At 45.2% G+C, this 15,756-nt stretch overlaps 1 protein-coding gene across 50 annotated transcripts in view, besides 6 other annotated features; it reads left to right on the top strand.

The window, feature by feature from the left end:
• Positions 1–15,756, top strand: part of TACC1 (transforming acidic coiled-coil containing protein 1) — a 124,447-nt gene that overhangs the window by 57,261 nt on the left and 51,430 nt on the right. For 21 of the 50 annotated variants that reach the window (NR_148050.2, XM_047422141.1, XM_047422142.1 and 18 more), the window contains one exon: positions 2,862–2,977. The exons of 11 other annotated variants lie outside the window; for them this stretch is intronic. Coding sequence is in view for 28 of the 39 variants with exons in the window: in XM_047422141.1 (XP_047278097.1) it covers positions 2,862–2,977 (116 nt within the window). In the remaining 11 variants the exon portion in view is untranslated. Of the gene's footprint in view, positions 1–70; positions 1,171–1,393; positions 1,902–2,263; positions 2,405–2,861; positions 2,978–15,756 lie in introns of those variants that run through there. 18 more of the 50 variants (NM_001352778.2, NM_001352780.2, XM_011544632.3 and 15 more) reach the window with 5 other exon arrangements.
• Positions 998–1,077: an enhancer, noted in NCBI's record as "active region_27258". NCBI's record gives its function as "activates an Ori minimal core promoter by ATAC-STARR-seq in GM12878 lymphoblastoid cells {active_cell/tissue: GM12878}" and the evidence as "EXISTENCE:reporter gene assay evidence [ECO:0000049][PMID:35858748]".
• Positions 1,118–1,657: a silencer, noted in NCBI's record as "silent region_19136". NCBI's record gives its function as "represses an Ori minimal core promoter by ATAC-STARR-seq in GM12878 lymphoblastoid cells {active_cell/tissue: GM12878}" and the evidence as "EXISTENCE:reporter gene assay evidence [ECO:0000049][PMID:35858748]".
• Positions 8,129–8,423: an enhancer, noted in NCBI's record as "tiled region #13542; HepG2 Activating non-DNase unmatched - State 23:Low, and K562 Activating DNase matched - State 14:Gen5'". NCBI's record gives its function as "activates a minimal TATA promoter and a strong SV40 promoter by Sharpr-MPRA in HepG2 and K562 cells {active_cell/tissue: HepG2 | K562}" and the evidence as "EXISTENCE:reporter gene assay evidence [ECO:0000049][PMID:27701403]".
• Positions 11,014–11,552: an enhancer, noted in NCBI's record as "OCT4-NANOG hESC enhancer chr8:38654374-38654912 (GRCh37/hg19 assembly coordinates)". NCBI's record gives its function as "activates a minimal SCP1, AML or CMV promoter by ChIP-STARR-seq in primed H9 embryonic stem cells {active_cell/tissue: H9 hESC(primed)}" and the evidence as "EXISTENCE:reporter gene assay evidence [ECO:0000049][PMID:30033119]".
• Positions 11,672–11,811: an enhancer, noted in NCBI's record as "active region_27259". NCBI's record gives its function as "activates an Ori minimal core promoter by ATAC-STARR-seq in GM12878 lymphoblastoid cells {active_cell/tissue: GM12878}" and the evidence as "EXISTENCE:reporter gene assay evidence [ECO:0000049][PMID:35858748]".
• Positions 11,882–12,041: an enhancer, noted in NCBI's record as "active region_27260". NCBI's record gives its function as "activates an Ori minimal core promoter by ATAC-STARR-seq in GM12878 lymphoblastoid cells {active_cell/tissue: GM12878}" and the evidence as "EXISTENCE:reporter gene assay evidence [ECO:0000049][PMID:35858748]".

Raw genomic sequence — 15,756 nt, forward strand, 5'->3', positions numbered from 1 at the left:
ATTTATTTCTGGGAAGAAGCCAGGATGAATTCGAAAGCATCCTGACACCCCACCCCTTTCTTTTCTCTAGACTTCAGGTTAACTCCTGCCCTTCGGTTTTGGTAAAACTACCCTGCCAAGCCTTATCTTGTATTTTGCTCCTGTTTTTGTTATCAAATGTGTAAAACAGTCACGATGAATATACATGCCAACTGCTTTCAGAGGCAACGGTTAGTCTCTTGCAAGTTTCAACGTGCACATTTTGGAGCTGCTGTCTCTGTGGGAACCTGCAGGCACCTCATGGATGCACCACAACTCGGAAATTACAGTACCACCTGGAACACCTTATCCAGGCAAGGAGATCATTAAGCCTGGTGTTTGAGGCAATCGATTCACTTGGAAGAAGGTGCTTTGGTGGTTTTGAGAGGAACAATCCCTACATGAAATCCCTCCATGGGAAATGGAGAACATCAGCTATTTCCCATTGCCTTCAAACCTAAAGATGTCGCCAGGCCTCTTGGCTTGTTACTGAAGCAGCGAAATAAGTCAGAAATCAAAGACTTAGAAGTTACGAAAAGAAAATCTCAAAAAGGAGAATGGGGTCAGGCGCGGTGTCAGGCCTGGAATCCTAGCATTTTGGGAGGCAGAGGCGGGAGGATCGCTTGTGGCCAAGAGTTCAAGACCAGCCTGGGCAACATATCGAGACGCCTGTCTGTATTTTAAATAAATAAATATGGAGAATGGGAAACCCATCAGGCTGTAATCTCACAGGGAATTTAGTACCCTTTACCTAAGACAAGACCTGGGCACTTGGGAAGCCTCCCCGAGTGCGGTTTGGGGAGGGGGAGGGCATCTTAAATTCCAGTCCTCGGTCACTCTTGTGGCTTTGCCAAGGGATTTTCAAATCCCGGGAATGCCAGGGATGGAGATGAACAGGCTGAAATCCCCCACGCTGCCAGGGTTAGGGAGGGGAAAACAACAGTCCACAGCGGCCGCGAAGGTTTGTATTTTTTTTTTTTTGGTAACAAGGGGCTTGTGTGCAGTCCAATATCACCATCGCCGTGAAGTCACAGTGGCAAGATGAAAATGTTTAAAAAAATTTTAAAAAGGAATAAGGAAAGAGGAAGAGGACAGCGTGCCCCGGCTCAGAAAACGGTCCTCCTCTGCCCCGGACGCCGGCGGACCTGTGGGGTATGACCGAATCTCCCCGCGCAGCCGGCAAGCCCCGGCCCTCAGTCGGGCCGCGACCAGCGTGACGCCGCGGTAGGGGGATCCGGCGGGCGCGCGGCCGTCTTCAAAGCCCCGGCGCCGCCGCCGCCCCCGCGCGCGCGCGCGAGTAGTACGGTCCGAGGGGGCGGCTTCTGGGGCGCGGCTCCGGCGGCAGCTGATGCGCGCCCCGCCGGCCGGGAGGCGGGAGTCCGCGAGCCGGGAGCGGGAGCAGCAGAGGTCTAGCAGCCGGGCGCCGCGGGCCGGGGGCCTGAGGAGGCCACAGGACGGGCGTCTTCCCGGCTAGTGGAGCCCGGCGCGGGGCCCGCTGCGGCCGCACCGTGAGGGGAGGAGGCCGAGGAGGACGCAGCGCCGGCTGCCGGCGGGAGGAAGCGCTCCACCAGGGCCCCCGACGGCACTCGTTTAACCACATCCGCGCCTCTGCTGGAAACGCTTGCTGGCGCCTGTCACCGGTTCCCTCCATTTTGAAAGGGAAAAAGGCTCTCCCCACCCATTCCCCTGCCCCTAGGAGCTGGAGCCGGAGGAGCCGCGCTCATGGCGTTCAGCCCGTGGCAGATCCTGTCCCCCGTGCAGTGGGCGAAATGGACGTGGTCTGCGGTACGCGGCGGGGCCGCCGGCGAGGACGAGGCTGGCGGGCCCGAGGGCGACCCCGAGGAGGAGGATTCGCAAGCCGAGACCAAATCCTTGAGTTTCAGGCAAGTACACGGCGTCCCCGCTGAGATGCAGACGCGCTTGCCTCCATCCATCTGCGACTCCCTCTGTGTGCGTGTGTGTGGTCGCCACCCGCGAAACCGTCCTCACGGCCGTGCCGCGTCCCTGCCCGGAGCCGGGTCCCCGTGTGCGTCCGAAAGTTCAGGATCTTCTGTCCTCCCGTGGGGTTTCTGGCCCCCGTTTCGCTAGGAGAGTTCCGCACCCAACCCAGAATCTGCAGTCTCTCCGCATCCCCGCTGGCCTCGGTCACTTTCTCTAAGCTTCGACCCCCAGCCCCCGCCCCTCCACACTGGAGCAACGTCACTGATCTAACCCAGTGCAACTTAGGGCCCCCCCGTGGGGAAGAAGTCGCTCCCCGGCCCTTCCCGGGGCCCTACCGTGTACCCAAAACGCAGCCGCGGTGAAGAAGGTCGCGTGATGACAGGCCCCTGGCAGCTGCTGGGAAATGGTGGTCTCTGCCGGGCTGTCATCCGCGTGATTGCGGAAGGCAGGTGACACCATTCTTAGCCTCGGGCCCAGGGAGTTCCAGCAGGTAGAGGCCTACCGAGCAAAGAGGAATGCCTAGCATCGGCCTAACTCGGGGGTGGGACCAGTATTAATTGTTAAAGCCTCTGGGAAAGGGCTCTTGTGACAAAAGGAGTCTGTTGGAAAAGCGCATTTTTCAGGTGTCTGAGGGAAGGATGACCTCGAAAATAAATGGTGCTGGAGAAAAGCTCCAGGGAATGGAGGAGCTTTCAGAGAGACAGGATGCCAGCCTGAGAAACCCAAGGAGGGCACTGCTCAGAGACCGCAGTTGCCTCCCGCAGGTCAGACCCTGCTGAGGACCGGTTGGTTGTGAAGTTAGACAAAAGTGCTGGACTTTTAGCCTCTGTGAATATGTAGATTTCAAAGGGTGTCGGAAATACCGTTGAAAGTGGTAATTCCTCATTTTTCCTCCTTGGCAGCTCGGATTCTGAAGGTAATTTTGAGACTCCTGAAGCTGAAACCCCGATCCGATCACCTTTCAAGGAGTCCTGTGATCCATCACTCGGATTGGCAGGACCTGGGGCCAAAAGCCAAGGTAAAGAAAAACTTGCATTTTTCCTGCCTGTTTTGTTTCAAAAGTTTTGAAAAATATCAATGAAGGAAGGAAAAAAGTGTAAATTTAGGACCATTTAAGAGAGTTTGACTAAGAAAGAGCTGTTTGAAACCTCCTGGCTTATGTATTTTTAGGGGTGTGGTGATCGAGGCTTTCTCCTCTGAGTAGAGTTTGTGCATTTGCAGTATAAGATTATCATTATCAAACATTCCTACTAGGCCTTTCTCCTCAGCCCCTAAAAAAATATGTATAGTAATGAAGTAGGAAGATCATGTTTATATTTGACTTCACAAATTCCTCAGGCTAAGTTGCTTTCTACTGGGGTGTGGCTGGAGACAAAAATTACAGGTAAGACTTGACTTAATTTTTGATAGGGAGGTTCTTAAGAGGCTTTTTCGGAATCACTCACCTCGCCCACTTCCATGCAGGGATGTGGTGAGAGCCCTTCAGTCTACTTAGGAAAACCTGGCACATGGATTCCCTCCCAGCCCCTCAGAGCCCAGCCCTTCATCTGCAGGAGCTTCCGTTGTCTCACTTAATTAGTAGAAACCTTTTTTGTCACACAGCCAGTTCAGAATAAAATTTCACCTATCCCAACAGAATTCATATGCTTATTTACTAAATAGAGTGCACTGTGATTCAGCAGTGAAGTCCTGCTCTCTCGAGCTAACATTGTGGAGGGAGAACCTGTGAAGGGTTAAGCAAAATATCTATGTCAGCTTGTGTGAAGCACTGTGGAGAAAAATAAAGCAGGGGAAGAGAATAGGGAATATGGAGTGGGGATAGGGAAGGCTGAAGGGGAGTTAGTGGGGGCATTCATGATTAGGTGACTTGAACAGAGACCTGAAGGCAGATTGAGGGAGCAGGCCTTGGAGGTTCCTGAGGTGGGAACCCTTCCAGCAGAAGGAGTGGCATCTGCAAAGGTCTGACAGCACCAGCCTGCTGCAGGGAGGCCGTAAGGTGGAGGGTTCATGGTACAGTTTGAGGACCAGCCAGGAGGTCAGTGTGGACTGACTACTCAGAGAGCAGGAGGAGCTGAAGTCAGCGTGGTCAGAGGAGGTCCAGATGCTGCTGCAGTGAGGATTTGGTTTTCAGTAAGGTGGAAAGCCACTGGAGGGCATATGCATTTCCAAGGGCTGCCATAACAGAGTAACTTAGCGGCTTACAATAACAGAAATTATTCTCTCACAGTCCTGGATAATTGAAATCAGAACCAGAAGTCTCAAGTCAAGGTGTTGGCAGGGCCTTGCTCTTCTGAAGGCTCCAGGAAGTCTGTCCTTGCCTCTTCTAGCCTCTGCTGGGTGTCTGCAATCCTTTGTGTTCTTTGGCTTGTGGCAGCAGAACTCCAGTCTCTGTCTCAACACATGGCCATCTTCTCCCTATGTATCTGTCTTACCGTGCCCTTCCTGTGAGGACACCAGTCGTTGAAGTTAGGGCCCACCCTAATCCAGTTTGACCTCATCTTAACTTGGTAACATCTTCAGAGATACTATTTCTAGATAAGGTCACATTCATAGGTACTAGGAGTTGGGACTTTAACATATCATTTTGAGAGACATAATTCAGCCCACAACAGAGAGCTTTGAACAGAGGGATTGTGATTCAGCTTCTTTTGTAAAAGGCTCCCTGGGCTGCTGTGTGGAGAAGGGACTCTAGGATGGAAGTCCTTTTTATGTGGTTTCTCTGTTCCAGTATCTGGCACTGTCACCCTGAAGTGGCAGCGCCAGCTTTCAGTTATCTAGCTACCTAAACTTTGTGCTGATTGTGACTTTCTCCTCTCCCTAATAAGTATTTTTATTGCTTAGCAACTTCTTCGTAGGTTGCCTAGGGAAGTCAAGTTACTCTGGTAATAGACTGCATGATGGAGCTGGAATTATTGGTAAAATGACATCAGCAAAAAGCTGATTTGGTTTTGCTTTAAATTGATAGCTCCATGCTGTGCTTACCCAGCTGAGAATTCAGCAATACCCTCAACTTGCCCTAGGCTGCATTTTGCCATTGTTCTAGGCAGGGACAACATGGGAATAGGCAAGCTTATATACTGGAGAATTTGTGTGCGACGCATAGCTGTGTAGCACTCTCAGTGATGAAGATAACACTTATTCCTCATAGCTTCCCTTTTCTTCCGTAAAGATTGGCAGATCAGAAGGGAGATTTTGAAGCTTGAAAGAACTATTTGGTGGCCTTTCCATCAAATTTAAATAAAGCTCATAAGACACATGTTAAGGAGCTGTTTGAAAGCCTTTTTGAATTGCCATCAGCTTGGGCGGCCCTTCCTCATCGTTTTGTCAGCTGCTAGACTGATTCATCCCGCCAGATTCTTTGCCAATTGAATAGAGGCCTGGATGACCTAGGCCCCCAAAACCACAGAGACCCAATTGTTTGGTCCTTCCTGTACCAGTGACTCTCACATTTTTTTCATTCTCTCTAAAAGGAAAACTTTTAAATGTTTATGGATCATGAAGGCTCTATGGGGTAGTTCATGAATGCAGACTGTAATTGTAGGGGTAGAGGAGTGTCCAGTCCAGGAAACAACCCTGCATATTATGAAGGCTTTCAGTTTAGGGTCTTTAAACAATAGGATGATTGCTCATCAACCTGGTCGTACCCTGACTTCCAGGGTCCTTGGGTGCAACATCCGGAGCTAGTCCAGAGTACCGCCAATGGCCTTGTCACACATACACAGCAAATGTGCAAAGACAGCCAGAGCACAGGTCTGCCTGGAGAGGATTTCAGTGGGCAGAAAGCCCTTCAGAGTCATTTCATATTGAAGTTTAATTTCTGGGACTGGATAAGTTCCCTTTCTCCCAAAATTATTGATTGTTTTGTTCCTGGTAAAGATAGTCTTTCATACTTTTGTGGTTCCAAGACATGGTTGGACCGCAGTTATAAATTATATAAGACTAAATCATTCTGGAAGAATGATTTACGAGGAGTTAGTCAGGAGTTGGAGTTGAAATATGTAAACATTCTGGCTTCCTGGTACATAATGGCCCTCAAACGTGTGGGCTACATTTACCATACCCATGGCTCCTGTGCTGACTTCTGTATAGTTCTTTGAACTCAGGGAAACATCTAAGACTATTTTGAAATGACTTTTCTTATACTGGAACTGCTTTAGGAACTTGCAGTATCTAAACTCTATAATGACTCTTCCTAAGAGTTGTATGCCAGGAGTTAAGTGGCGGATAAGGTTGTAGATTTTTTTTGAAGCCACATATAGAAGCAGGTTTTAGGCTTACTGGTAAAATAAAACTCTAGCTAAAGATATTTCCTGGAAATAACCAGACTGGTAGCTGTAAAGCTTGGGCTGGTCTGTATTTGCTATCTGTCTGTTTTCTCCCACTAAAGTTGTTTAATGCTGCTGCTGTTGTGGTGGTCTTTCTCTTTGCTGGGAAATATATTGGTGAAGAAACATCCTCTAGGAATGGACTTTTGAGGAGGTACAATCTCAAGTTCATCCTCTGTTTTGTTTTGCTTTGAGACAGGATCTATGTCTAGACTGGAGTGCAGTAGTATGATCATAGCTTACTGCAGCCTCCAACTCCTGGGCTCAGATGATCCTCCTGCCTCAGCCTCCTGAGTAGCTGGGACTATAGGCACACACTACCATGCCTGGCTAATTTTTTGTTTTGTTTTGTTTTTTGAGATAGAGTCTCGCTCTGTTGCCCTGGCTGAAATGCAGTGGTGCGATCTCGGCTCACTGCAAGCTCCGCCTCCTGGGTTCACGCCATTCTTCTGCCTCAGCCTCCCAAGTAGCTAGGACCACAGGCGCCCACCACTACGCCCAGCTAATTTTTTGTATTTTTAGTAGAGACGGGGTTTCACCGTGTTAGCCAGGATGGTCTCGATCTCCTGACCTCGTGATCCGCCCGCCTTGGCCTCCCAAAGTGCTGGGATTACAGGCGTGAGCCACCACGCCTGGCCAGTTTTTTTATTTTTTGTAGAGATAGGGTCTTGCTATGTTGCCTAGGCTGATCTCGAACTCCTGGCCTAAAGGGATTCTCCTGCCTCACCCTCCCAAAGTCCTGGGATTACAGGCGTGAGCTACCATGCCTGGCTTTTGTGTTTGCATGTGTGTTTATGGAGGACTTAGGGGTTGTGGCTTTGTGTAGCTGTTTCAGTCACAAAAACTGCAGTGGGTGCCCTCTGCCCCTTGAGTTTCTCCTTCACCAACATAGCCCCCCTTCCCCAAACACACACACCTTTATCTACAGATTGTTACCTCTCTCTGAGAAAGAGAATCTTAATTAGTGTAGAAGCTCTCACATCACCCTTGGAACAACTCGTTAAACCTCTCCAGTTTGATGTGTTAATTAAATGCCTAGGTATTTCAAACACAAACTGTAGTTCTCTGGACTTTTCCCCAGAATAGAAGAAAAGAGATAAATGGGATCTGTGCACAGATATTTACTGCCTCAGGCCTGTGAGGGAATGCCAAGTTGTTTGTTGACACAATTTTGGTAGTCTCGATCAGAATCAGCAAACTGTGACTCATAGACCAAGCCCTGCCTGTCCTGTTTTTTTGCATGGCCCTGAACAGAAGAATGAGTTTTACATTTTTTGATGGTTTAATGGTGATGTGTGAAAATAATGTGAAATCCAAATTTCAGGGCCCATCAATGGTCACACGATTATGTGAATTTACTAAAAACCATTGCATCATATATTTTAAAGGGTGGACTGTATGGTTTGTGAATTATATCTCAATAAAGTAGTTCTTAAAAAAAAACAAAACAAAATTTCAGGGCCCATCAAGTTATATATATATGAAATATATATTTTGGTAGATATGGGGTCTTGCTATGTTGCCCAGGCTGATCTTGAGCTCCAGGGCTCAAGTAAGTGATCCTCCCACCTCAGCCTCCCAAAATGCTGGGATTTCAGGTTTGAACCACCACTGTCATCCCCATAAATAAAGTTATTGGAATACAGCCATACTCATTCATTCATGTATTGTCTATGGCTGCTTTTGCTCTACAATAGCTGGGTTGAGTACTTGGAACAGAGACCAAATGTCTGGCAAAAGTCTAACATATTTACTATCTTGTACAGAAAAAAAATGTCAACCTACATCTATACTTATTACAATTTCAGTAAAAATACAGAGTTTAAGTAATTTGGGAAAATGGCTTTAAGAATGAAAAGGTGCAAGGTTATACCTGCTGAACAAATGAACTGTGGGCGTGAGGTGCCATTAGTCTAGGCCTGCATGTTCAGGGAAGGCCCAGGGGAGAGCCTGATGTGGCCTGGCTATTTGTCATATTTGCAAAGGGGAAGTGATGTAATTGGTCTGCAATGAACTTGATTTTCAATTGACTCAAAGATCTAAGGAGGAATAAAAATTATTTAAAAAGGAAATTAGGGAAGAATGGGGAGAATATTGGAATCATTTAATAGAAGTACAAACACATAGACTTTTAACTTTTGCCCATTAAATTTTTTTTAACATTTTATTTTCTTAAATTTTTTTTAAAAAAATAGTGATGGGGTTTCACTGTGTTGCCCAGGCTGGTCTCGAACTCCTGGGCTCAAGTGATCCTCCCACCTTGGCCTCCCAAAGTGTTGGGGTTACAGGCATGAGCCAGCCTCACCCAACCCATTAAATGTCTTTAATGTAACTTCGGGTGTATGAGAATTTGTAAGTTGACTGTGCAGATCTCTTAAAAGGTTGATATGGTGTATTTTTAGAATGTTTTAGACTGCACGTGTGTGTGTGTTTGTTTGTGTGTGTGTGTGTGTGCGTGCTATAGAAAACACAGCATGGAAACCTTGTTAAAATCAGAGGCTTTGATTTTTTATTCTAAAGCTTTGAGTTATATGTTTAATCAGATACTATGTGAAAAATTTTCATTAGGTACATATTGAAGTGTTCCATTCAAGTCTACAAGTATATCCTCCTAAGGATTTAGTTTAACATCCTTTCCCTGCTCCAACAAGGGAATGCTTTATTAGAGTTTCCTAGAAATAATGGGACTAATTAGGACCTTTCATATTACCTAGTCCAGCAGTCCAACCCATGTGGCTCCTTCAACAGCATCGCAGCCTAATGCTTTTAATTTAATTTTAAATTTTTAATGTTTTGCTGTGATTGCCTCTTCCACAGTTTGATTTTTTTGTACTGTATAATTCCATGTTAAGGTATTTAAAGCTTGAAAATCTTAGCATGATATAGCTACTTTGTTTTTTCATGTATTTTTAGCTCTGAAGTTGGAGATTCCAACCAGCTAATAAATGAGATCAGAGTCATGTGTTTTTTTGTTGTTGTTGCTCTATCACAATGTAAATGTGCCCCTAGGAAGCACCTGCTTCTATATGGTGCCTTACCCAAGGGAGTGTCTTCCTGGGGAAAAAAGTGTAGTTTTTCCAGCAGAAACTTGTGAGAGTGCAGAACCACAGAGGAGCAACAGTGTCTGAATAAAAAATTCCAGGGCAGGGAAGCAAAGTCTACCTGCAGAAAGGAAAGATTTTAGTAACTATCAAATCACAATTTTTCTTTTAAGATGAGTGACAAAATCAAGACCTTGCACTCCCCCATTTTGGGCTTACCCAAGCATCGAATAAAGCAGTAGAACTTACTTTGGTACTTGCGGGTGGCAGAGACACTTTCTACCTGTGTATGTGTTTTGGGAGCCGGCAGTCCTTCTAAAATTATATTGCTGCCATGTAATGTCCCACCTACAAAATGGATGTGGCCTAAAGCCATTTAAACATTTAAATGAAAGAGCAGTTGCAGTGTCTTTTTCAGGTTACCAGTTATACTGCCCAGAGGAAATCTTGGAGGGTATAAACCATTTTGTCACACTCTCCTAAATCCAGAGTAGCGATGGGAGATAATGGTTTATCCACCCAAAACAACCCTCTCAGTGGAGATTTCATAACCAAGGTTGCTAAATTGCCTGGTGACTATTAAATCTGGGCTTAGAAAGGCTTTGCTACTTGTGAGTTCAAGATCTCACCCTCACCTTTGCATGTACATGACCTAATTTTATGAGTTCAAACAAACATGATTAGATCCCCAGGGTTTAGATTGATGATGGCCAGACTCACAAGGGAATAATAATAATGGCATGGAGTATTTTATTAATTCACAAATGAAAAATGTATCTTGACAGTTTGGCAGATGCAGATACTCTCCTAGCCAGTCGAGGACCCTCTTTCTTATATCATAGCTGGAAATATGACAATAAATGATTGATCTCCAGCTTTCCCATTACAATATTCCCACCTAGCAGATCACCAGCTATCTGTTTCAGCCGTATTTATTTATTAGATGTGTTGGGAACAAGTAATCTTTGTTTGCAGCATCTTGTTTGATTTTTATGACCATGATTCTGCGAGATAGGACACAAGTGATTTCCATTTCACAGATTGGGAAATTGAGGCCAGAGCCTTTACTGCTAGTAGTGGACCTGGGTTTTGAATTCAGCTTTTAAGATTGCAGATCCAGAGCTCTTTGGAACATATTATACAGCTTTTCTCTCCAGGAAATTTGTGAATCCCTCTCTGTTGTTCACTATCTGAAGAGAAGACATATCAGAGGAAATAAAGGGTCTTAAAATGTTGCCAGAGCAGGGTGTGTGATGGGGGAAAGCATCGTCTTAAGTATCCTGTCATGTGATAGTAGTTTAAAAAATCAAAAAATACATCTTCCACATGTGTGAACTTGGCACATATTATTCTGAAGTATGAAATGTATTTTAGGAAGTTGAAACATCAGAAGTTTGGAAGCTTGCAGCATGATTTAGATATAAATTAATAGTCAAGCAAAAATCATCACTGGATAAGTGCAGTGGGATTGAAAACATTTTGCTTCCTCAATGCCTAGCTTCAGCTCATCAGTGAAAAATAAAGAAGGAGTAGACAAATTCAGTACTAGCCTTTGCATTCTGTCTCCACCTGAGTCATGCATGGTTGAGAAGAGGCAGGTGTGTGGAGGTGTGTGCGGCTGCCAGGGGCTCTGCGCCTGTTTTATGGTAGATAGAGGAGTTTTTAAGAGGCCTTTGTTGGTGATCTCTGGCTGCATAACAAATTACTCCAAAACTGAAAACAACGAACATCTCACATAGTCTTTGTAGTTGGGAAATTTGGGAGCTGGGTGGTGTGGCTCAGGTCACTTTTGAGAATGCTGTCAAGATGTCGGCTGGGACTGCAGTTGTTTAAAGACTTGACTGAGGCTCAAGAATCCTCTCCTAAGGCGGCTTACTCATTTGCCTGGGCTGTGAGTGCTGGCTGTTGGTGGGAGGCTGCAGTCCTCACCATGTGGACCACTGCTGGGTTGCTTGAGTATCCTCACAGCATGGCAGCTGGCTGCCCCAGAGTGAGTGATCCAAGAGCAAGCAAGATAGAAACTGCAGAGTCTTCTGTGACTTAGCCTCAAAAGTCACACTTATTTCCACAGTATCCTTTTGGTTACACAGGTCAGTCCAAGGGCATGTGTACCAGGAGGTGAGACATATAGGGGCCGTCTTGGAGGCTGGCTACCACAAAGCCCTTTTCCACTTTTTAAAAAACTTGCATGAAAGGATATACAAGGGTATACATTCTTAGATGGCAAAGCTTTTCCCATTGCTTTCTTCCTTTGGCGTCTCTTCACTATGCCCTTCCTAACCCCACTCCTTCTTGCTGCCCTCTTTCTTAAACAGGAGCAGAACTGGCTGAAGAAATTATATAGCCGCCTATTGGCTTGTGGTCCTGCCATGGATGTGTCTCATGCACCCAGCATGCTGGCTGAGATTGCTCTGTCTGGAGGCCCCTCTCTTGCTGAACATTCCTCCCTCTTCTTCTTTATCCAGCATCAGCTTCTCAGCTCCATGTGGGTGGTTGCTACTTTGTGAGAGAGGCAGTTGGTATTTTGAATTTTCCAGTAATTATTTCTGAAGAGATGCACATTATGGTTGTTTGGCAGCAACAGATTGAAGTTACACAATCCCAGATCTCTGCACAGGAGCCCCATCTGTTAGCACGTGCTCTTTCCCCCCTTGCTCTTCCTGCCAGAATAGGTTGGGGATGGGGGAGAAGTTTTGTGGGGAGGGCCTTCTATGATTTCTGTCTGTGGAAGGGGATTTCTACTCTGTCTAAAATATAACCTCAAACAAATCCAGATGGTTCCAGAACCCATGGGCATCTCATGAGTGAGAAGAGAAGACACATTCATTGCTGGATTGGCTTCTCTGGAGGAGGCTTTGGCTTCCTGGTGGGTGGACACTTCCTGATAAGCAAGTCCCATCCTCTTACCTTATAATCTTGGCCTTTAGAGATACGGTTTGGGTCTCTTTTTATTTTTCTTCCTTTTTTTTTTTTAGAGACAGGGTCTTGCTGTGTTGCCCAGGCTGGAGTGTGGTGGTACAATCATAGCTCACTGCAGCCTCAACTCCCAGTCTTAAGGGATCCTCCTGACTCAGCCTTCCGAGTAGCTGGGACTACAGGCGTGTACCACTACACCTGGCTTGGGTGTCTTTTTAAATAAAATAGCATAAAGTGCTGTTTTGGAAATTTGAAGTGCTTTCTTCATCCTTAGTACAAACTTTTTTCAGTTTACCAAGTGGTTTTCCAGATTATTCTTTACCTGTAGAGTCTTAGGTTTTAGGGGGAGCCTCTCTCAGGAGTTAGAGGCTTATCTCAGGAGAACAGCAGTGTAGCTGGTGCCCTGTCTCTTAAAAAAGCAATGAAATTTGCCCTACCGTGACTTCTGGGTAATGTTTTTGTTTGGGGGTTTTTTGGAGGTTAGGAAGGGGTTTAAACAGGTAGTTTGTTGTCTGGGTTCTGCGTGTGTGTGTGTGTGTGTGTGTGTGTGTGTGTGTATGTGTATTTTTCTGCTTTGGTTGGTGAGACAGCTTAAAACTATGATGTACCTAAGAGGATGGTCTGCCTTGACTCACCCACTCAGAATCCCGCTGACCCACCCCTCTCCCATGCTTCCGGGGATCCTGGGCCCCAGCAGTTGTTGGGGAAATGTGAGCTATGCAGCCCATACCCTTAGATTGTATCCCGCATTCCTGGAAAAGGGCCTATTGTACGGTTGTTCCAACCCTGGACAATAAATTGTGTACTTCTCCATTTTAAGGCTGATGACTAAGTGAGAACGAACATATATAAAATACACTTCAACTTTGGAGGAATCAGAGAGACTGGGAACCCAAAGACATGAAACTGGGGGAAAAAAACACTCAAATTTTGGACTTTTAGCATTAATGCTAATATACATCTGATTAACAGTCTCCTCAGGGCAGACCACTTGAGCAGAAAGGGTTGGTGCCAGAATCACGCTTGTTTCCCTCCTGAAGCCCTTGATTCAGTGTGGGGGAGGAGAGCTGGGAGGGCAAGACCAAGGCACGGAAAGGAGGAGTGGGACCTTCAGGGCAAAGGGCCAAGGGAAGAGCTATGCCAAGCCATCCCCCAGCCGTTAGCCTAGAGCTGAGCTGCGGCATCACTGAACAATTAGCTAGGCCTTCTCAGTATGCGACAGATGAGGTGAGGAGGAGTCCTTTATGTATCAGACACTTGCCCTGCAGTGGGCACTGATTGAGCATCAGCTCTGTCTTGGACGCTCAGTTTCTGCTCCCAGGGATACAAAGAGTAAGGCCCCTGTGGGGCTCCGAGTCTGGAGGGAGCTAGCCCTGTCCTGTTTCCCAGACCTCTTGGCCGCCTTGGCATCCCAAGAAGTTTTAGCAGCAAAAGATAGGGAATTTGTGAGGGAAGAAATTCCCCCGCAAATCTGGAGGTCAAATGTTAAAAGGAAGAAGGCAAATGTTAAAAGTTAGAATTTTAAAAATCCCCCTGCCCACAAAGTAAAAAAAGCCTTTTGGGCTTGACAATTATAACTCTAGGATGTTTCATATACCATACTTGGCTACATCTGTTGTGGAAAAGAGGGATGATGTCATTTTTTTCACCTCTTTCTGTAAATAGAATTTATGTAGCACATGTGGGCTTCCTCAAGAGAAATTTAAAACCCCAAATTGATGGGATGGTGAGACCTACCACCTCTCTCAAGCATGTGTCTCTCCAAGTGACACACATAAGACACTATTTAAAGCATGTACTTTGGATGTGTGTGCTGGCTCACTCCTGTAATCCCAGCACTTTGGGAGGCCAAAGCAGGAGGATTGCTTGAGACCAGCCTGGGCAACAAAATGAGACCCCGACTCTACCAAAAACAAACAAACAAAAAATTAGCAGGGCATGATGGCTTGTGCCTTTAGTCCCAGCTGCTCAGAAGGCTAAGGTGGGAGGATCACTTGAGCTTGGGAGGTTGAGGCTCCAGTGAGCCGTAATCGCCCCACTGTACTCCAGCCTGGACAACAGAGCAAATCTGTGTGGTATAGTTGAACATTTTACTAGAAATCACAGGACATTCCTCCTGCTCCATTTCCCTCGGGTCTGAGCCTCCATGTTCTTTTTTAAAAATAGTTTTATTGAGATATAGTTTACCTGCCATACAATTCACCATTTAAAAGCTTTATGATAGTTTTTAATTTATCGACAGAGTTGTACAACTATTATCTCAATTTAATTTTTAGAACATTTTATCACCCCCAAAGGAAACCCTATACCCATTAGGTGTCACACTCCATTCCTCTTCCTTCCCACCACCAGTCCTAGGTAACTGATGATCTAGTTTGTGTCTCAATAGATTTGATTATCTAAACGTTTCATGTAAGTGGAGTAGTAGAATATGTAGTCTTGTATGACTGAATCAGTTCACTAACCATGTTTTCAAGGTTCAGCTATGTTGTAGCAAGTATCGGGACTTTATTCCTTTTTTATTGTTGAACAATACCCCATTTTATTGATATACTATATTTTATTTACCCGTTTATTGGTTGACGGACATTTGGGTTATTTACACTTTTGGCTATGATGAATAATGCTGCTATGAACATTCACATCATGGATTTATGTTTTCATTTCTCGGGTATATAACTAGGAGTAGAATTGCTAGGCCATATGGTAACTTCATGTCAAACATTTTGAGGTACTGCCAAACTTTTTCAAACTGGCTGCACTATTTTACATTTCTGCCAGTAGTATTTGAGCGTTTCAATTTCTCCATATCCTCTCCAACACTTCTTATTGTCTGTCTGTTTGGTTATAGCCATGCCAGTAGGTGTGGAGTAGTTTTGATTTGCATTTGGTTTTCATTTGCATTTCCCTAATGGCTGATGATATTGAGCAACTTTTCATGTAGCTATTGGGTATTTGTATATATTCTTTAGAGAAATGTCTATTCAGATTCTTTCCCCACTTTTTAATTAGGTTATTTATCTTTTTTATCACTAAGTTATATATTCTAGATGCAAATTCCTTATTAGATATGTGACTAAATATTTTCTTCCATTGTCTTTTCATTTCTTGATGGTGTCATTTGAAGTGCAAAAGTTCTTAATTTTGATAACGTTCAGTTTACTTGTTTTGTCTCTTATGCCTTGATGTCATGTATAAGAAGATTTTGCCTAACCCACAATCACAAAGATTTACTTCTTTGTCTTAACAGTTTTATAGTTTGAGCTCTTACATTTAGATTTGTGATCCATTTTGAGTCAGTTTCTGCATATGGTGTAAGGGAGTAGTCTAGCTTCATTCTTTTGCATGTGGATATCCAGTTGTCCCAGCACCATTTGTCAAAAAGACTATTCTTTTCCCTATACAATTAACTTTGCACCCTTGTCAAAAATCAGTTGGCCATAGGTACAAGTATTGATTTGTAAACTCTTAATTTTGTTTCTCTGATCTATATGTCTCTCGTTATGCTGGTACCA

This window comes from Homo sapiens, chromosome 8, assembly GCF_000001405.40.
Source record: "Homo sapiens chromosome 8, GRCh38.p14 Primary Assembly".
Taxonomy (NCBI): Eukaryota; Metazoa; Chordata; class Mammalia; order Primates; family Hominidae; genus Homo; species Homo sapiens.